Source organism: Homo sapiens, chromosome 19 (assembly GCF_000001405.40).
Source record: "Homo sapiens chromosome 19, GRCh38.p14 Primary Assembly".
NCBI classification, from domain to species: Eukaryota; Metazoa; Chordata; class Mammalia; order Primates; family Hominidae; genus Homo; species Homo sapiens.
Window position 1 is genome coordinate 27,680,662 of NC_000019.10, and position 21,629 is coordinate 27,702,290.

The window sequence follows — 21,629 nt, forward strand, 5'->3', positions numbered from 1 at the left end:
TATCCTTAGACTGCCTGAGGTGGGCCAAAGGTCTCTCCCATTAGAATGCCTGGATTGGCCTGGAGTATTTTCACAGATAGATTGTTTCTAGTTTTTCTTGAGGAATATTCAGTTTCTCACAATAGACCTCAATGTGCTCAGAAATGTCCCTTCACAGATTCTACAAAGCAGTGCTTTTAGCCCATTGAATCAAAACACAGGTTCCATTCGGTGAGATGAATCCACACATTACAAAGCATTTTCACGTGTAGCTTGTTTCTAATTTTCATCGTGGGAAATTTGGTTTTTCACTAAAGGCTGCAATGGGCTCAGAAATGTCTTTTCATAGGTTCTACAAAAAGAGTGTTTACAATGTGTTGAATGAAAACATAGGTTTAACTCTATGAGATGAATCCACACATCACAAAGCATTTTCACAGAAAATTTCTTTTTAGTTTTTATCGTGAGATATTTGTTTCTTTACTATAGGATTCAAAGGGCTCAGAAATGTCTTTTTGTATATTCTACAAAAAAAGTGTTTTCAAACTGTTGAATCAAAACAAAGGATTAACTCTGTGACATGAATCCACACATCATAAAACGTTTCCACAGATAGCTTGTTTCCAGTTTGTATTGTGAGATACCCATTTTTCCAAATATGCCTCAGTGAGCTCAGAAATGTTTCTTCATAGATTCTACAAAAAAAGTTTCCAACCTGTTGAATTAAAACAAAGTTTTAAGCCTTTGATATGAATCCACACATTGCAAAACGTTTTCACAGATAGCTGCTTTCTAGTTTTTATCACGGGATATTAGCTTTTTCACAATAGGTTTCAATGGGCTCAGAAATGTCCCTTCGTAGATTCTACAAAAAAAGTTTCCAATCTGTGGAATTAAAACAGTTTTAACTCTGTGCATTAAATCTACACATCGGAAATTATTTTCACAGATATCTTGTTTCTAAATTTTAGGTGGGATATTTTGTTATTCACTATAAGCCTTAATGAGCTCAGAAACGTCCCTTTGTAAATTCTACAAAAAAAAAAGCTTTTCCAAGGTGTTGAATAAAAACAAAAGTTTAATTTTGAGAGCTGAATTAACATATTACAAAACGTTTTCACGGATAGTTTGTTTCTAGTTTATATTGTAGAAAATTTAATTTTTTACTATAAGCATCAACGGGTTCAGAAATATCCATTTCTAGATACTACAAAAAGAGTGATTTCAACGTTTTAAATCAAAACAAAGGTTTTACTCTGTGATATGAAACCACACATCACAAACATTTTCCCAGATAGTTTGTTTCTAGTTTTTATCATGGGATATTCCGTTTTTTACTAAAGACCTCAATGGGCTCAGGACTGTCCCTAAGTAGATTTTACAGGAAGAGTGTTTTGAACCTGTTGAAACAAAACAAAGGTTAACGTCTGTGAGATGAATCCACACATCACAAAGCATTTTCACAGAAACCCTGTTTCTGGTTTTTATCACAGGAAATTTGGTTTTTCATGATAGGTTTAAAAGGACAAAGAAACGTACTGTCATAGATTCTGCTAAAAAAGTCGTTCCAACCTGTTGAATCAAAACATAGGTTAAATGCTGTGAGATAAATCCACATATACCAAAGCATTTTCAAAGATAGCTTGTTTCTAATTTTTATCACAGAATATTTGGTTTTTCACAGTAGGCCTCAATGGGCTCAGAAATGTACCTCTGTAGATTCTACAAAAAGTGTTTCCAACCTTGTGAATCAAAACACAGGTGCCATTCAGTTAGATGAATGCACACATCACAAAACATTTTCACATACAGCTTGTCTCTAGTTTTTATTGTGGGATATTAGTTTCTTACTATAGGTCTCAAAAAGCTAAGAAATTTCTATTTGTAGATTCTAAAAAATAGTGTTTCCAATGTGTTGAATAAAAACAATGGTTTAACTTTGTGAGATGAATCTATACATCACAAAGTATTTTCACAGATAGGTTGTTTCAAGTTTTTACCATGGGATAATTGATTTTTCACAATAGGCCTCAATGGGCTCTGAAATGTCCCTTCGTAGATTCTACAAAAAGTGTGTTTCCAACTGGGTGAATCAAAATACAGGTTCCATTTGGTGAGATGAATCCACACATCACAAACATTCCACACGTATCTTGTTTCTAGTTTCTATTTCAGGATATGTGGTTTTTCACTATACTTCTCAATGAGCTCAGAAATGTTTTTTCATAGATTCTACAGAGAGAGTGTTTCCAACATGTTGAATCAAAACAATGGTTTAACTTTGTGAGATAAACCCACACATCACAAAGCATTTTCACACATAGCTGGTTTCCAGCGTTTGTTCAAGAAATTCAGTTTTTCACTGTAGGCCACAATGGGCTCAGATATGTCTCTTTTTAGACCTTTTATTTTCCACAAAAAGAGAGTTTCCAACCTGATGAATCAATACAAAGATTCATCTCTGTGAGATGAATCACATTTCTCAAAGCATTTCCATATTTAGGTTGTTTCTAGTTTTTACCACAGGATCCTTTGTTTTTCAATACAGGCCTCGATGGGCTCATAAATGTTCCTTCATAGATTCTACAAATAGAAGGTTTCAGTCCTGATGATTTACAATGCAGGTTTAATTCAGTGAGAAGAATCCACACATCATAAAACTTTTTCACAGCGTATTTCTAGTTTTTATCATTGGATAGTCGGTTTGTCACTGTAGACTTCAATGAGTTCAGAAATATCCCTTCATAGATTCTACAAAAATAGTGTTTCCAGCATCTTGAATCAAAATGCATTTTTCATTCAGTGAGATAAATACAGACATCAAAAAACATTTTCACAGAAAGCTTGTTTCTAATTTTTGTCAGGGGATATTCTGTTTTTCACTAAGTCTCAACGGGCTTCGATATGTCCCATCATAGATACTTCAAAAATTGTGTTTTCAACCTGTTGAATCAAAACAAATGTTGAACTCTCTGACATGAAACCTCACATGGCAAAGCATGTTTACACATACCATGTTTCTAGCTTTTATCATACAATTTTTTATTTTTTCACTGTATGCACCATGGGCTCAGAAATGTCTTTTTGTAGTTTCTACAAAAAGAGTGTTTCCAATCTGTTGATAAAAGCAAAAGTTTAACTATGTGAGATGAATCCACACATCACAGAGCATTGTCACAGATAGCTTGTTTCTAGTTATTATGGGTTATCCAGTTTTTCACTCTAGGCTACAATAAGTTAAGAAGTGTTTTTTCATAGATTTTACAAGGAATATGATTCCAACATTTTGAATCAAAACAAAGGTTTCATTCTGTGAGATAAATCCGTATACCACAAAGTATTTTTATAAATAGCTTCTTTCTAGTTTTAGTTGTGTGATATTTGGGTTTTCACACTAGGCCTCAATGGGCTAAGAAATGTTCCTTCATAGATTTTACAAAGAACCTGGTTTTAACCTGTTGAATCAAAATAAAGGTTTAACTCTGTGAGAAATATCCACCCTTCACGAAGCATTTTCATGTATAGTTTCTTTCTAGTTTCATGGTGGAATATTCAGTTTTTCAGTATAGGTTTCAAAGGCTCAGAAATTTCTCTTTGTAGTTCTATAAAAAGAGTATTTTCAATTTGTTGAATCAAAACATAGGTTTAACTCTGTGAGATAAATCCACTCATCACAAAACATTTTCACGTATAGCTTGTTTCTAGTTTATATTGCAGTATATTTGTTTTTTCACTATAGGCCTTAATGGTCTTTGAAATTGTCCCTTCATATATTCTACACTAAGAGTATTTCCAACCTGTTGAATCAAAACAAAGATTTTACTCTGAGATAACTCCACCCATCACAAAGCATTTTCATACATACCTAGTTTCCAGTTTTTATTTCAGGATATTCGGTTTTACTCTATAAACCAGAATAAGCTCAGAAATGTCTTTTCATAGATTCTACAAAAAGAATGCTTTCAACCTGTTGAATAAAACAAAGGTTTAACTTCATGAGATGAATCCACCTAATGCAAAGCATTTTCACAGATAGCTTGTTTCTAGTTCTTACCATGAGATAATCAATTTAATATAGGCCTCAACGGGCTTAGAAATATCCTTTGGTAGATTCCACAAAAAGAGTTTTTCCAACCAGCTGAATCAAAACACAGGTTCCATGTGGTGAGATGAATCCAAAGATCACAAATCGTTTTCACAGGTAGGTTGTTTCTAGTTTTTATCACAGAATATTCTGTTGTTCACTATAGGCCTCGATGGCCTCGGAAATGTCCCTTCATAGATTCTAAAAAAAAGTGTTTCCAACCCAGTGAATCACAACACAAGATCCATTCAGTGAGAAGAATCCCCATATAACAAAGCATTTTCACAGAGAGCTTGTTTGTACTTTGCATAGCGGGATATTCAGTTTCTCACCTTACATCTCGATAAGCTCAAAAACGTCTCTTCATAGATTCTACATAAAGAATGTTTTCAACCAGTTGAATCAAATCAAAAATTTAACACTGTGAGATAAATCCACAAATCAAAAAGCATTTTCATAGGTAGTTTGTTTCTACTACCTATTTATCAGGGGATGCTTGGTTTTTCACTACAAGTCTCAATGGGCTCAGAAATGATGTCCCTTCATAGATTCTAAAAAAAAAAAAAAAAAAAAAAAAAAAAGAGTGTTTACCACCTGTTGAATCAAAATTAAAATTTTACTCTATGAGATAAATCTACACCTTGCAATGCATTTTCATTGATAGATTCTTTTTAGTTTATATCATGAGATATTTGATTTTTTACTACAGGCCTCAATGGTCTCGGAAACATCCCTTTGTAGATTCTACAAAGAAAGGATTTCCAACCTGTTAAGTCAAAACAAAGATTTAACTCTGTGAGATAAAACCATGCATCGCAAAGCATTTCACAGATAGCTTGTTCCTAGTTCTTTTCGTGGAATATTCATTTTTTCACTATAGCCCTCAATAAGCTTAGAAATGTTCCTTTGTAGATTTTACAAAAAAGTGATTTCAGTCTAACGAATTAGAACAAGGCTTTAACTCAGTGAGACAAATCCAGATGTTAAAAAGCATTTTCTCAGATAGCTTGTTTCTAGTTTTATAATGGGATATTTCATTTTTCACTATAGGCCTCAATGGTCTCATAAATATCCCTTTGTAGATTCTACAATAAGAGTGTTTCCAACTTGTTGAACCAAAACACAGGTTTGATTCGGTGAGACAAATTCACAGCTTTCAAAGTATTTTCACAGAAAGCTTGTTTCTAGTTTCTATAGTGCAATATTCGAGTTTTCACAGTAAGCCTCAATGGGCTCAGAAATGACTCTTCATTGATCCTACAAAAAGAGTCTATCCAACTTGAATCAAAACGCAGGTTTCATTCAGTGGGATAAATCCACACATCACAAAACATATTCGCAGATAACTTGTTTCTACTTTTTATCGTGGGATATTCAGATCTTCACTATAGGCCTTCATGCACTCAGTAATGTCTCTTCTAGATTCTAAAAAAGAATGTTTCCAACTTGCTTAATCAAAACCAAGGTTTAACTCTGTGTGATGAATCCACACATCACAAAGCGTTTTAATTGATAACTTGTTTTTAGTTTAAATATTTGAATTTTCACTATAGGCCTCAATAGACTCAGAAATGTCTCTTTGTAGATTCTATATAGAGTGTTTTCAACCTGTTGAATAAAAAAAAAGTTTAACTCTGTGAGATAAATCCACACATTGCAAAGCATTTTCACAGAGAGCTTGTTTTTAGTTTGTGTCACAGAATATTCACTTTTTCACTATAGACCTCAAAGGGCTCAAAAATGTTTCTTCATAGATTGTAAATAAAAGTGTTTCAAACCTAGTGAATCAAAACACAGGTTTTATTTAGTCAAATGAATTAATACATTACAAAGCATTTTCACAGATAGCTTCTTTCTTGTTTTTAACATGGGATATTTTGTTTTTCACTAAAGGCCTCAATGGTCTCAGAAATGTCCCTTTCTAGATTCTACAAAAGGAGTGTTTCCAACCTCTTGAATGAAAATAAAGGTTTCACTCTGTGAGATAAATCCACACATTGCAAAGCATTTTCACGTATACCTAGTTTCTAGTTTTTATCACAAAATATTTGGTTATTCTCTATAAACATGAATAAGCTCAGAAATGTCTTTTTGTAGATTCTACAAAAAGAACGTTTTCAATCTGTTGAATTAAAACAATGGCTTACCTCTGTAAGATGAATCCACACAAGGCAAAGCATTTTCACAGATAGCTTACTTCTAGTGTTTATCACAGGATAATAGATTTTTTTACTATAGATCCTCAATGGGCTCAGAAATATCCTTTCATAGATTCTACAAAAAGAGTGTTTTCCACACTAAATCAAAACTCATCTTTAATTTGGTGAGGTGAATCCAAATAACACAATGCATTTTCACAGATGGCTTGTTTCTAGTTTTTATCATGGAATACTCAGTTTTTCACTATAGGCTTCAGTGGCCTCAGACATGTCCCTTTATAGGTTCTAGAAAAAGAGTGTTTCCAGTCTGGTGTATCACAACTCAGGTGCCACTCAGTGAGAAGAGTCCACATATCACAAAGCATTTTCACAGATAGCCTGTTTCTACTTTTCAGAGCAGGATATTCAGCTGCTTACTATAGGCCTGAAGAACTGCAGAAATGTCCCTCTGTAGATTTTACTAAAAGAGTGTTTCCAACCAGCTTAATGCAAACAAAAATTTAACACTGTAATATAAATCCTCAAATTACCGAGCATCTTCTCTGATAGCTCGTTTCTAGTATTTATCGTGGAATATTTGGTTTTTTACTATAGGGCTTAATTGGCTCGGAAAAGTTCCTTCATAGATTCTGAAAGAAGTGTATTTCTAACTGTTGAATCAAAACCAAGGTTTAACTCTATGAGATGAATCAACACATCACAAAGCATTTTCACATAGTTTGCTTCTAGTTTTTATCAAGGGATATTCATTTTTTTGCTATAAGCCTAGATAGCATCAGAAATGTTCCTTTGTAGATTCTACAAAAAGCCTGTTTCAAACTGTTGAATCAAAATAAAAGTTTAACTCTGTGAGATGTATCCACAGGTTGCAAAGCATGTTAACAGATGCTTCTTTCTATTTTTTATCACAGGATATTCAGTTTATTACTATAGGCCTCAATGGGCTCAAAAATGTCACTTCGTAGATTCTACAAAATAAGTGTTTCCAATCTGTTATATCAAAACAAAGTTTTATCTCTATGAGATGAATCCACACTTAGCAATGCATTTTCATAGATAGCTTCTTTTTAGTTTATATCGTGAGATATTCAATTTTTTAATATAGTCCTCAATGGGCTCAGATACATCCCTTTGTAGATTCTACAAAAAAGTGTTTTCAACCTGTTGAATCAAAACAAAGCTTTAACCCTGTAAGATGAATCCACACATCACAAATAGCTCAGATCACATCACAGATAGCTTGTTTCTAGTTTTTATTGCAGAATATTTGTTATTTTACTATAGGCCTCAACAGGCTCAGAAATGGTTTTTTGTAGATTCTACAAAAATCCTGTTTCCAACCTGATGATTGAAAAGAAAGGTTTACTTCTGTGAGATAAATCCAGACATTGGAAAGTATTTTCACAGGTAGCTTGTTTCTTGTTTTTATTGTGGGATATTCAGGTTTTCACTATAGACCTCATTGGGCTCAGAAATGTCCCTTCATAGATTCTACAAAAAGAGTGTTTCTAACTTTTTGAGTCAAAACACAGGTTTGATTTGGTGAGATGAATCCACAAATAGCAAAGTATTTTCATATAAAACTTGTTTCTAGTTTTTATCGCAGGATTTTTTTATTACAGGCCTTAATGGGCTCAGAAATGTCTCTTTGTAGATTCTATAAAAAAGTGTTTCCCATCTGTTGAATCAAAACAGAGGTTTAACACTGTGAGGTTAATCCACACATCACAAAGCATTTTCACAGATAGCTTGTTTCTAGTTTTTATAGGGCAATGTTCAATTTTTTACTGTAGTCCTCAATGGGCTCAGAAATGTCCCTTTGTAGATTTTACAAAAAGAGTGTTTCTAACTTGGTGAGTCAAAACACAGTTTCCATTCTGTGAGATAAATCCACACATCACAAAGCATATTCCCAGATTTTTTTCCTTCTTTTTATCACAGGATATTAGGTTTTTCACTATATGGGCTCAGTGATGTCCCTTCTCAATTATACAAAATTGAGTGTTTCCAATCAGTTGAATAAAAACAAAGGTTTAAACCTGTGAGATGAATCCTCACATCTCAAAGCATTTTAACTGAGAGGCTGTTTTTAGTTTTTATCGTGGCATACTCTGTTTTTCACTATGCACCTCAATGGGCTCAGAAATCCCTTTATAGATTTTATAAAAAGTATATTACCAATCTTTTGAATCAAAATAGAGGTTCTACTCTGTGAGATGAATCCACACATGGCAAAAAATTTTCACAGATTGCTTGTTTCTAGTTTTTGTCATGGGATATTCCATTTTTCAGTATAGGTCTTAATGAGTTTAGAAATGTAACCTTGTAGATTCTACAAAAAAAGTGTTTCCATAATGTTAAATGAACAAGGAAGTTTAACTTTGTCAGATAAATCTACACATCTCAAACCATTTTCACAGATAGTTTGTTTGTAGTTTTTATCATAAGATATTTGTTTTTTTACTATAGGCCTCAATAGGTTCCAAAATGTCCATTTGTAGGTTCTACAAAACTAGTGTGTCCTGTTGAATCAAAACAGAGGTTTAACTCTGTGATATGAATCTACATATCACAAAGCATTTTCTCAGTTAGCTTTTTTTCTAGTTTTTATAACACGTCTATTTCATTAGAATTCCTGGGATCACCCAGGTGTTTCTTTCATTAGACATGCTGGGGTGGGCCAGGGGTCTCTCTCATTAGAATGTCTGGGGTGGCCCTGGTTTCTCTATCATTAGAGTGCCTGGGGTCAGCCAAGTATCTCTCCCATTAGAATGCCTAGGCTTAACAAAATGTTTTTATCATTAGACTGCCTGCAGTTGGGTGAGAGTCTCTCCCATTAAAATACCTGTGTTTGATCAAGTGTCTCTATCATTAGAATTCCTGTGTTCGGCTGGAAATCTCTCTTAATAGAATGCCTGGGGTCAGCCAGTTGTCTCCATCATTAGACTGCCTGGGTTTGGCTAAGAGTGCCTCTCATTGGAATGCCTGGGATTGCCCAAGTGGCTCTACGATTAGACTGCCTGTGGTCCCCCAGATGTCTCTTTCATTTGAATGCCTGGGGTCGTACAGGTGTCTCTATAATTAGACTGCCAGTAGTCAGCAAGTAGTCTTTTCCATTAGAATACCTGTGGTTGCCAAGTAGTCTCTATTTTTAGACTGCCTGCAGTCACCCAATAGTCTCCCATTAGAATGTGTGTTGTCAACTGGAAGTCTCTTGCATTAGAATGCCTGTGTTGCTCAGGAGTCTCTTCCAGTAGAATGCCTGGGGTTGGCTAGTTGCCTCTATAATTAGAAAGCCTGGGGTCTTCCTTGAGCCTCTCCCATTACATGTCTTTCAGTCGACCAGGTAGGTGTTTCTATCATTAGACTGCCTGGGGACGGCCAGGAATCTCTTTCATTGGAATGCCCACTTTTGCCCAGATGTCTTTATCATTAGACTCCTGGTGTCAGCCGGGAGCCTCTCCCATTAAAATGCCTAAGGCAGCTCAGTTGTCTTTATCATTGGACTGCCTGGGGTTGGCCAGGAGTCTTTCCAACTAGACTGCCTGGGGTCTGCCGGGAGTCTCTCAGATTAAAATGTTTTTGATCACCCAGGTGTCTCTATTATTAGACTGCCTGGGGTCGGCAGAAAATCCCTGCCATTAGAATGCCTTTGGTCGCCCAGGTGTCTCCATCATTCAACTTCTGGAGTCAGCTAGGAGTCCCTCCCATTACAATGCCTAGAATCGCTGGGAGTCTCTCCCATTATAATGCCTGGGGATGCTTAGGTATCTTTAGCATTAGAATGCCTGTGGTCAGCCAGGAGTCTTTCCCAATAAAATGCAAAGTGTTGCCCCATGTCAATATTATTAGAAGGCCTGGGGTCAGCTGGGAGTCTCTCCCATTAGAAAACCTGGGGTCTGCCAAAAGTATTTTTCATTAGAATGCCTGGCATCTCACAGATTTCTCTATTATTAGAATACCTGGAGTTGGCATGGAGCCTCTCCAATTAAAATGCCCGTGTCACCCAGATGTCTCTATAATTTGACTGCTTCGGGTCAGCCAAGAGACTCTTTCAAGAGAATGCCTGGGGTTCTCTAGAAATCTCTCTTATTAGAATGCCAGGTGTCTGTATTATTAAAATACCTGGGGTAGTTCTGGAGTTTCACCCATTCAAATGCCTGTGGTTGCCCAGGTGTCTCTATCATTAGACTGCCTGTGGTTGGCTGGGTGTCTCTCCCATTAGAATGTGTGGGGTCGATTTGGTGTCGCTATTATTAGGTTGCCTTGGGTCAACCAGGAGTCTCTTTCATTAGAATGCCTGGGGTTGGCCATGAGTCTCTCCCATTAGAATGTCTGGGGTCGCCCAGGTGTCTCTATCATTAGACTTGCCTGGGGTCAGCTTGGAGTCGCTTACATTAGAATGCCTGGGGTCACCCTGGTGTCTTTATAGTTAGACTGTCTGGGCTCAGTGTGAGGTTTCTCTCATTAGAATGCCTGAGTTTGCCCAGTTGTCTCTTTCATTAGACTGCCTGGGATCGGCCAGGAGTCTCTCCCATTAGAATCCCTGAGGCAGCCCAGCTGTCTCTATCATTAGATTGCCTGAGTTTGGTGAAAGTTTCTCCCATTAGAATGCCTCAGGTTGCCCAGGTGTCTCTATTATTAGACTGCCCATGGTTGGCCAGGTGTATCTCCCATTAGAATGCCTCAGGTCCCTCAGGTGTCTCTACTATTAGACTGCCCATGGTTGGCCAGGTGCCTTTCCCGTTCGAATGCCTGGGATTGCCCAGGTGTCTCTATAATTAGACTACTTGGGATCGGTCAGAAGTGTCTCCCATTCGAATGCCTGTTTTTACCCAGGTGTCTGTATCATTATACTACCTGTCATCAGCCAGTCATTTCCCGTTAGAGTGCCTAGGTTGCACCAAAAATCCCTTGCATTAGAATGTTTGGGGTCTCCCAGGTGTCTCTATTGTTAGACTGCTTGGGTTCAGTCAGTAGTCTTTCCCATTACAATGCATGAGGTCGCCCAGGTGTCTTTATCACTAGACAGCCTGGGGTTGGCTGGGAGTCTCTCCCATTAGAATGCCTGGGGTCATTCAGATGTCTTCATAATTAGACTGCCTTGGGTCACCCAGGAGTCTCTCCAGTTAGAATGCTTGCTGTTGCCCAAGTGTCCTTATCCTTAAACTGTCTGGTGTCTGCCAGGGGTCTGTCCAATTAGAATGCCTGGGGTTGGACGGGAGAAAGCCTGTGGTTGCTCAGCTGTCTCTATCATTAGAATGCCTGGGGTCAGCCGAAAGTCTCTCCCATTCGAATGCCTGGAGTCACCCATGTGTCTCTCTTATTAGCCTTCCTGGCATCAGCCAGGAGTTTCTTCCATTAAAATGCCTGAGATCACCAAGATATCTCTTTCGTTAGACTTCCTGGGGTCAGCCAGGAAGCTCTCTCATTACAATGCCTTGTGTGAGGTGAAAGTCTTTCCCAGAAGTATGCCTGGTTTCTCTATCATTAGACTTCCTGGGGTCAACCAGGAATCTCACACACAAGAATGCCTGTGGTTGCCCACGTTTCTTTATAATTAGACTGTTTGGCCAGAACTCTCTTCCATTAGAATGTCTGGTGTTGCCCAGGTGACTCTACCATTAGAATGCCTAGAATTGGCCAGAAGTCTCTCCCATGAAAATGCCTGGGTCACCCAGGTGACTCTATCACTAGACTGCCTGGGATTGGGTGGGAGTCTCTCCCATTATAATCTCTGTGGTCAATCAGGTGTCTCTATCATTAGAATCCCTGAGGTCTGCTGGCAATCTTTTCTATTAGAATTTCTGTTTGCCCAGGTTTCTCTATCATTAGACTGCCTGAGGTCAGCCGGCACGTTTTCCCATTATTATACCTGGGATAATAATTTCCCATTATTATACCTGGGATAATATTGCTCATGCACCTCTATCATTAAACAACCTAAGTTTGGAAGGGGTCTCTCTCATTAGAATGATTGGGGTTGCCCAGGTATCTCTTTCATTACACTACCTGGGGTCAGCTGGGAATCTCTCCCATTAGGATTCACACCAAGTGTCTGTATAATTAAACTGCCTGGGGTTGCCCAGTTATCTCTTTCATTACACCACCTGGGGTCAGCTGGGAATCTCTCCCATTAGGATTCACACCAAGTGTCTCTATAATTAAACTGGCTGGGCTCAGCCAGGAGTCTTTCCCATTAGAATGGTTATGGTCACTCAGGTGTCTTTACCTTAGACTGCTTGAGGTAAGCCAAGAGTCTCTCCCATTAGAATTCCTGGCATCGTCTGAGAGTCTTTAACATTAGAATGCCTGGGGTCATGCAGGTGTCTCTATAATTAGACTGCTTGAGGTCAGCAAAGAGTCTCTCCCAAGAGAATACCTGGGGTTGGCTGAAAGTTTTGCCCATTACAACGCCTGGGGTTGCCGAGGTGTCTCTATCATTAGAATGCCTGGGGTTGTCCAGGAGTCTCTCCCATTAGAATGCCTAGGGTTGCCTAGGTGTCTCCATCATTAGACTGACTGCAGTCAGCTGTAAATCTCTCCCATTAGAATGCATGGGATCACCCAGGTGTCTCTATCACTAGACTGCCTTGGGTCCGCCGGGAGTCTTTTCCATTTCAATGTTTCAGATTGCCCCCATGTCTCTACAATTAGGCTGCCTAAGCTCGTCCAGGAGTCTCTCCTAATAAAATGCCTGTGGTTGGCCAGGTGTCTCTATCATTAGTCTGTCTAAGTTCAGCTGGGAGTATCTCCCATTAGAATGCCTGGGGTCATTCAGGTGTCTGTATCATCACATTGCCTGGGGTCGCCAAGGAATCTCTTTTGTTAGAATGTCTGGGGTAGCCCAGGTGTCTCTATAATTAGACTGCTGGGGGTCAGCCAGGAGTCTCTCCCATTAGAATACCTGTGGTCTCCCAGGTGTCTTCTTTCTAAGACTGCCTGTGATCGACCTCAAGTCTTCCATTAAAATTCCTGGGATCTGCTGGGAGTCTTTTTCCTTAGAATGCCTGGGGTCACCAAAATGTCTTTATCATTAGACTGCTGGGGTTTGACCAGGAGTCTCTCCCATTAAAATGTCTGAGGTCTCCAAAGTGTCTCTATCATTAGACTGCCTGGGATCAGCTGGGAGTCTCTCCCATTAGAATGCCTGGGGTCGACCAGGTGTTGTTATCTTTAGTCTACCTGGGTTGGCCAGGAGTTTCTTCCATTAGAATGCCTGATGTCAGATGGAAATATCTCCTATTAGAATGACTGAGGTAGCCCAGTTTTCTCTGTCACTAGAATGCCTGGGATCACCCAGGTTTCCCTATCATTATAATGCCAGAGATTGGCCTAAATTCTCCTTCATTAGTGTTCCTTGCATCACCAAGGTGACTCTCTCCTTAGACTGACTTGGTTTGGTGGGTAGTCTCTCTCATTAGAATGCCTGGGGTTGCCCTGTTGTCTGTAACATTAGACTGCCTGAAATTGGCCGGAAGTCTCTTCCACTGGAAGGTCTGGGTTCGCCAAAATGACTCTATCATTAGACTGTCTGGTGTCAGTTGGAAGCCTCTCCCATTAGAATGCCTGGGGTAAGATGGAATTCTCTACCATTAGAATGCCTAGGGTTGGCTGGGAGTCTCTCCCATTAGAGTGCCTGTGGTGTCCCAAATGTCTCTATCATTAGAATGCCTGGGGTTGACCAAGAACCTCTTTCATTAGAATGTGTGGGTTTGCCCAAGTGTATCTATCATTAGACTGCCTGTGGTCAATGGAGTCTCTCTGGATTGAATGCCTGGGGTCGCTCTGGTGTCTCCAACATTAGACTGCTTGGGGTTGCTCAGAAGTCACCCCCAATGCCTGGAGTCAGCATGGAATCTCTCCTTTTAAAATGCCTTGTGTCTCCCAGATGTCTCTATCATTAGACTACTTGGAGTCATCCGGGAGTCTCTCCAATGAGAAGACCTGGGGCTGCCCATGTGTCTCTATTATTAGACTGCCTTGTGGTCAGCCTTACATTAGAATGCATGGGGTAGCCCAGGTGTCTCTATCATTAAATTGCCTGAATTTGGCTAGAAGTCTATCTGTTTAGAGTGACTAGAGTGAACCTGGAGTGTCTCCCATAACAATGCCTGGTGTTGCCCAGGTGTCTTCACCATTGGAATGCCTGGTATCAGCCAGGAGTCTGTCTCATTAGAATGCCTGGAGTGACGCAGGTGTCTCTATCATTAGACTGGCTGGGGTCGGCTAGGAATGTCTCCCATTAGAATGCATGGGGTAACCCAGATGACTATCCTTTGACTGCCTGGGGTTGGTGAGGAGTCTCTCCCATTATAATGCTTGAAATCAACCAGTATTTTCACAAATAGCTTGTTTCGAGTTTTTATTGAGGGATATTCATTTTTTCACTACAGGCCTCAATGGGCTCAGAAATGTCCCTTTTGTAAACTCTACAAAAAGAGTGTTTCCAACATGGTGAATCAACAGGTTAGATTCGTCTAGATTAATCCACACATTAGAAAGAATTTTCACAGATAGCTCTGGTTATTATTACAAGATATTTGGTTTTTCTTTTTTCTATTTTTTATTATACTTTAAGTTTTAGGGTACATGTGCACAATGTGCAGGTTAGTTACATATGTATACATGTGCCATGTTGGTGTGCTGCACCCATTAACTCGTCATTTAACATTAGGTATATCTCCTAATGCTATCCCTCCCCCCTCCCCCTACCCCACAACAGGCCCCGGTGTGTGATGCTCCCCCTCCTGTGTCCATCTGTTCTCATTGTTCAATTCCCACCTATGAGTGAGAACATACAGTGTTTGGTTTTTTGTCCTTGCGATAGTTTGCTGAGAATGATGGCTTCCAGCTTCATCCATGTCCCTACAAAGGACATGAACTCATCATTTTTTATGGCTGTATAGTATTCCATGGTGTATATGTGCCACGTTTTCTTAATCCGGTCTATCATTGTTGGACATTTGGCTTGGTTGCAAGTCTTTGCTATTGTGAATAGTGCTGCAATAAACATACCTATGCAAGTGTCTTTATAGCAGCATGATTTATAATCCTTCAGGTATATACCCAGTAATGGGATGGCTGGGTCAAATGGTATTTCTAGCTCTACATCCCTGAGGAATCACCACACTGACTTCCACAAGGGTTGGACTGGTTTACAGTCCCACCAACAGTGTAAAAGTGTTTGTCTTTCTCCACATCCTCTCCAGCACCTATGGTTTCCTGAATTTTTAATGATTGCCATTCTAACTGGTGTGAGATGGTATCTCATTGTGGTTTTGATTTGCATTTCTCTGATGGCAAGTGATGATGAGTGTTTTTTCATGTGTGTTTTGGCTGCATAAATGTCTTCTTTTGAGAAGCGTCTGTTCATATCCTTTGCCCACTTGTTGATGGGGTTGTTTGTTTTTTTCTTGTAAATTTGTTTGAGTTCATTGAAGATTCTGGATATTAGCCCTTTGTCAGATGAGTAGATTGTAAAAATTTTCTCCCATTTTGTAGTTTGTCTGTTCACTCTGATGGTAGTTTCTTGTGCTGTGCAGAAGCTCTTTAGTTTAATTAGATCTTATTTGTCAATTTTGGCTTTTGTTTCCATTGCTTTTGGTGTTTTAGACATGAAGTCCTCGCCTATGCCTATGTCCTGAATGGTATTGCTTAGGTTTTCTTCCTGGGTTTTTATGGTTTTAGGTCTAACATGTAAGTCTTTAATCCATCTTGAGTTAATTTTTGTATAAAGTGTAAGGAAGGGATCTCATTTCAGCTTTCTACATATGGCTAGCCAGTTTTTCAAGCACCATTTATTAAATAGGGAATCCTTTCCCCATTTCTTGTTTTTGTCAGGTTTGTCAAAGATCAGATGGTTGTAGATGTGCAGCATTATTTCTGAGGGCTCTGTTCTGTTCTATTGGTCTAAATCTCTGTTTTGATACCAGTACTATGCTGTTTTGGTTACTGTAGCCTTGTAGTATAGTTTGAAGTCGGGTAGCGTGATGCCTCCAGCTTTGTTCTTTTGGCTTAGGATTGACTTGGCGATGTGGGCTCTTTTTTGGTTCCATATGAACTTTAAAGTAGTTTTTTCCAATTCTTTGAAGAAAGTCATTGGTAGCTTGATGGGGATGGCATTGAATCTATAAATTACCTTGGGCAGTATGGCCATTTTCACGATATTGATTTTTCCTATCCATGAGCATGGAATATTCTTCCATTTGTTTGTGTCCTCTTTTATTTCATTGAGCATTGGTTTGTAGTTCTCATTGAAGAAGTCCTTCATATCCCTTGTAAGTTGGATTCCTAGGTATTTTATTCTCTTTGAAGCAATTGTGAATGGGAGTTCACTCATGATTTGGCTCTCCGTTTGTCTGTTACTGGTGTATAAGAATGCTTCTGATTTTTGCACATTTATTTTGTATCCTGAGACTTTTCTGAAGTTGCCTATCAGCTTAAGGAGATTTTGGGTTGAGACAATGGGGTTTTCTAGATATACAATCATCTCATTGGCAAACAGGGAAAATTTGACTTCCTCTTTTCCTAATTGAATACACTTTCTTTCTCCTGCCTGATTGCCCTGGCCAGAACTTCCAACACTATGTTGAATAGGAGTGGTGAGAGAGGACATCCCTGTCTTGTGCCAGTTTTCAAAGGGAATGCTTCCAGTTTTCGCACATTCAATATGATATTGGCTGTGGGTTTGTCATAGATAGCTCTTATTATTTTGAGGTACATCCCATCAATACCTACTTTATTGAGAGTTTTTAGCATGAAGGGCTGTTGAATTTTGTCGAAGGCTTTTTCTGCATCTATTGAGATAATCATATGGTTTTGTCATTGGTTCTGTTTATATGCTGGATTACGTTTATTGATTTGCCTATGTTGAACCAGCGTTGCATCCCTGGGATGAAGCCCACTTGATCATGGTGGATAAGCTTTTTGATGTGCTGCTGGATTCGGTTTGCCAGTATTTATTGAGGATTTTTATATCAATGTTCATCAGGGATATTGTTCTAAAATTCTCTTTTTTTTTGTTGTGTCTCTGCCAGGCTTTGGTAACAGGATGATGCTGGCCTCATAAAATGAGTTAGGGAGGACTCCCTCTTTTTCTATTGATTGGAGTAGTTTCAGAAGGAATGGTACCAGCTCCTCCTTTTTCCTCTGGTAGAATTCAGCTATGAATCCATGTGGTCCTTGACTTTTTTTGCTTGGCAAGCTATTAATTATTGCCTCAATTTCAGAGCCTGTTATTAGTCTATTCAAAGATTCAACTTCTTCCTGGTTTAGTCTTGGGAGGTGTATGTGTCGAGGAATTTATCCATTTCTTCTATATTGTCTAGTTTATTTGTGTAGAGGTGTTTATAGTATTCTCTGATGGTAGTTTGTATTTCTATGGGATCGGTGGTGATATCCCCTTTATCATTTTTTATTGAGTCTATTTGATTCCTCTCTCTTTTCTTCTTTATTAGTCTTGCTAGTGGTCTATCAATTTTGTTGATCTTTTAAAAAAACCAGCTCCTGGATTCATTGATTTTTTGAAGGGTTTTTTGCGTGTCTATTTCCTTCAGCTCTACTCTGATCTTAGTTGTTCTTGCCTTCTGCTAGATTTTGAATGTGTTTGCTCTTGCTTCTCTAGTTCTTTTAATTGTGATGTTAGGGTGTCAATTTTAGATCTTTCCTACTTTCTCTTGTGGGCGTTTAGTGCTATAAATTTCCCTCTACACACTGCTTTGAATGCGTCCCAGAGATTCTGGTATGTTGTGTCTTTGTTCTCCTTGGTTTCAAAGAACATCTTTATTTCTGCCTCCATTTCGTTATGTACCCAGTAGTCACTCAGGAGCAGGTTGTTCAGTTTCCATGTCATTGAGCGGTTTTCAGTGAGTTTCTTAATCCTGCGTTCTAGTTTGATTGCACTGTGGTCTGAGAGACATTTTGTTATAATTTCTGTCCTTTTACATTTGCGGAAGAGTGCTTTACTTCCAACTATGTGGTCAATTTTGGAATAAGTGTGGTGTGGTGCTGAAAAGAATTTATATTCTGTTGATTTGGGGTGGAGAGTTCTGTAGATATCTATTAGGTCCACTTGGTGCAGAGCTGAGTTCAGTTCCTGGATATCCTTGCTAACTTTCTGTCTCGTTGATCTGTCTAATGTTGACAGTGGGGTGTTAAAGTCTCCCATTATTACTGTGTGGGAGTCTAAGTCTCTTTGTAGGTCTCTAAGGACTTGCTTTATGAATCTGGGTGCTCCTGTATTGGGTGCATATATATTTAGGATAGTTAGCTCTTCTTGTTGAATTGATCCCTTTACCATTATATAATGGCCTTCTTTGTCTCTTTTGATCTTTGTTGGTTTAAATTCTGTTTTATCAGAGACTAGGATTGCAATTCCTGCCTTTTTATGTTTTCCATTTTCTTGGTAGATCTTCCTCCATCCCTTTATTTTAAGCCTATGTGTGTCTCTGTATGTGAGATGTGTTTCCTGAATACAGCATACTGATAGCTCCTGACCTTTTATCCAATTTGCCAGTCTGTGTCTTTTAATTGGAGCATTTAGCCCATTTGCATTTAAGGTTAATATTGTTACGTGTGAGTTTGATCCTGTCATTATGATGTTAGCTGGCTATTTTGCTCATTAGGTGATGCAGTTTCTTCCTAGCCTCAATGGTCTTTACAATTTGGCCTGTTTTTGCAGTGGCTGGTATCAGTTGTTCCTTTCCATGTTTAGTGCTTCCTTCAGGAGCTCTTTTAGGGAAGGCCTGGTGGTGACGAAATCTCTCAGCATTTGCTTGTCTGTAAAGCATTTTATTTCTCCTTCACTTATGAAGCTTAGTTTGACTGTATATGAAATTCTGCGTTGAAAATTCTGTTCTTTAAGAATGTTGAATATTGGCCCCCACTCTCTTCCGGCTTGTAGAGTTTCTACTGACATATCTGCTGTTTGTCCGATGGGCTTCCCTTTGTGGGTAACCCGACCTTTCTCTCTGGCTATCCTTAACATTTTTTCCTTCATTTGAAATTTGGCGAATCTGACAATTATGTGTCTTGGAGTTGCTCTTCTCGAGGAGTATCTTTGTAGCATTCTCTGTTATTTCCTGAATTTGAATGTTGGCCTGCCTTGCTAGATTGGGGAAATTCTCCTGGATATTATCCCGCAGAGTGTTTTCCAACTTGGTTCCATTCTCCCTGTCACTTTCGGATACAACAATCCGATGTAGATTTGGGGTTTTTACATAGTCCCATATTTCTTGAAGGCTTTGTTCATTTCTTTTTATTCTTTTTTCTATAAGCTTCTCTTCTCACTTCATTTCATTCATTTGATCTTCCATCACTGATACCCTTTCTTCCAGTTGATCGAATTGGTTACTGAGGCTTGTGCATTCATCATGTATTTCTCGTGCCTTGGTTTTCAGCTCCATCAAGTCCTTTAAGGACTTCTCTGCATTGGCTATTCTAGTTAGCTATTCATCTAACTTTTTTTCAAGGTTTTTAACTTCTTTGCCATGGGTTCGAACTTTCTCTTTTAGCTCAGAATAGTTTGATCATCTGAAGCCTTCTTCTCTCAAGTCGTCAAAGTCATTCTCCATCCAGCTTTGTTTCATTGCTGGTGAGGAGCTGCATTCCTTTGGAGGAGGAGAGGCACTCTAATTTTTAGAGTTTCCAGTTTTTCTTTTCTGTTTTATTCCCCATTTTTGTGGTTTTTTCTACCTTTGGTCTTCAATGATGGTGACGTACAGATGGGGTTTTTGTGTGGATGTCCTTTCTGTTTGTTAGTTTTCCTTCTAACAGTCAGGACCCTCAGCTGCAGGTCTGTTGGAGTTTGCTGGAGGTCCACTCCAGACCCTATTTGCCTAGGTATCAGCAGCAAAGGCTGCAGAACAGCGGATATTGGTGAACAGCAAATGTTGATGCCTGATTGTTCCTCTGGAAGTTTTGTCTCAGAGGAGTACCCGGCCTTGTGAGGTGTCAGTCTGCCCCTACTGGGGGGTGCTTCCCAGTTATGCTACTTGGGGTTCAGGGACCCACTTGAGGAGGCAATCTCTCCATTCTCAGATCTCCAGCTGCGTGCTGGGAGAACCACTACTCTCTTCAAAGCTGTCAGACAGGGACAATTAAATCTGCAAAGGTTTCTGTTGCCTTTTGTTTGGCTATGTCCTGCCCCCGGAGGTGGAGTCTACAGAGGCAGGCAGGCCTCCTTGAGCTGTGGTGGGCTCCACCAAGTTCGAGCTTCCTAGCCACTTTGTTTACCTATTCAAGCCTCGGCAATGGTGGGTGCCCCTCCCCAAGCCTCTCTGCCACCTTGCAGTTTGATCTTATACTGCTGTGCTAGCAATAAGCAAGGCTCCATGGGTGTAGAACCCTCCAAGCCATGCAAGGGATATAATCTCCTGGTGTGCCATTTGCTAAGACCATTGGAAAAGTGCAGTATTATGGTGGGAGTGACCTGATTTTCCAGGTGCCATCTGTCACCACTTTCTTTGACTAGGAAAGTGAATTCCCTGACCCCTTGTGCTTCCCAGGTGAGGTGATGCCTCACCCTCTTTTGGCTCATGCTCGGTGTCCTGCACCCACTGTCCTGAACCCACTTTCCAACACTCCCCAGTGAGATGAACCTGGTACCTCAGTTGGAAATGCAGAAATCATCCATCTTCTGTGTGGCTCATGCTGGGAGCTGTAGACTGGAGCTGTTCCTATTTGGCTTTTTTGGCTCCACCCCTGATGTTTGGTTTTTCACAGTAGGCCTCAATGAGCACAAAAATGTCCCTGCATAGATTCTACAAAAGAAAAAGAAAGGTTTTTTAACCTGTTGAATCAAAAGAAAGGTTTAACTCTGTGAGATGAATCCACTTGTCACAAAGCATCTTCACAGATAGCTTGTTTTTAGTTCTTATCGCATGATATATCATTTCTCACTATAGGCCTCAAGAGGCTCAGAAATTTTCCTTTGTAGATTCTACAAACACAGTGTTCCCAACCTGGTGAATAAAAACACATGGTTTAGTCAATGAGATGAATCACCGACTAAACTGAAGATCTTCACAGGTAGCCTGTTTACAGTTTTTGCCTTGGGACATTCGGTTTTTCACTATAGGCCTCATGGAACTCAGGCCTAATTTTGAACAATGCCTTCGTAGATTCTACAAATAGAGTGTTCCCAAACTGGTAAGTCAAAATGCAGGTTCTATTCAGTGAGATAAATCTATATATCACAAAGCATTTTCACAGATTTCTTGTTTCAAATTTTTATGGCAGGATATTTGTTTTTTCACTATAGGCCCCAATGGGCTCAGAAATGTCCCTTCATAGATTCTAGAATAAGAGTGTTTCCAGCCTCTTAAATCAAAAGAAAGTTTCCATTTCGTGAGATAAATCCACACATCATAAATTATTTTTACAGATGGCTTGTTTCTATTTTTTAT

At 39.2% G+C, this 21,629-nt stretch overlaps 1 long non-coding RNA gene across 2 annotated transcripts; it reads right to left on the bottom strand.

Moving 5' to 3' along the window:
- Positions 1-410: 410 nt before the first annotated feature.
- On the bottom strand, positions 411-7,309 carry LOC105372345 (uncharacterized). Of its 2 annotated transcripts, XR_935879.3 has the most exons (3): positions 4,034-4,614; positions 3,845-3,946; positions 1,040-2,922 (listed from the first exon to the last, which is right to left on the bottom strand). It is a non-coding gene; the product is annotated as an uncharacterized LOC105372345 (long non-coding RNA). The 2 variants fall into 2 exon arrangements; XR_007067370.1 differs by lacking the exon at positions 1,040-2,922 and adding an exon at positions 411-694 and having other exon boundaries at positions 3,845-7,309.
- Positions 7,310-21,629: the final 14,320 nt, after the last annotated feature.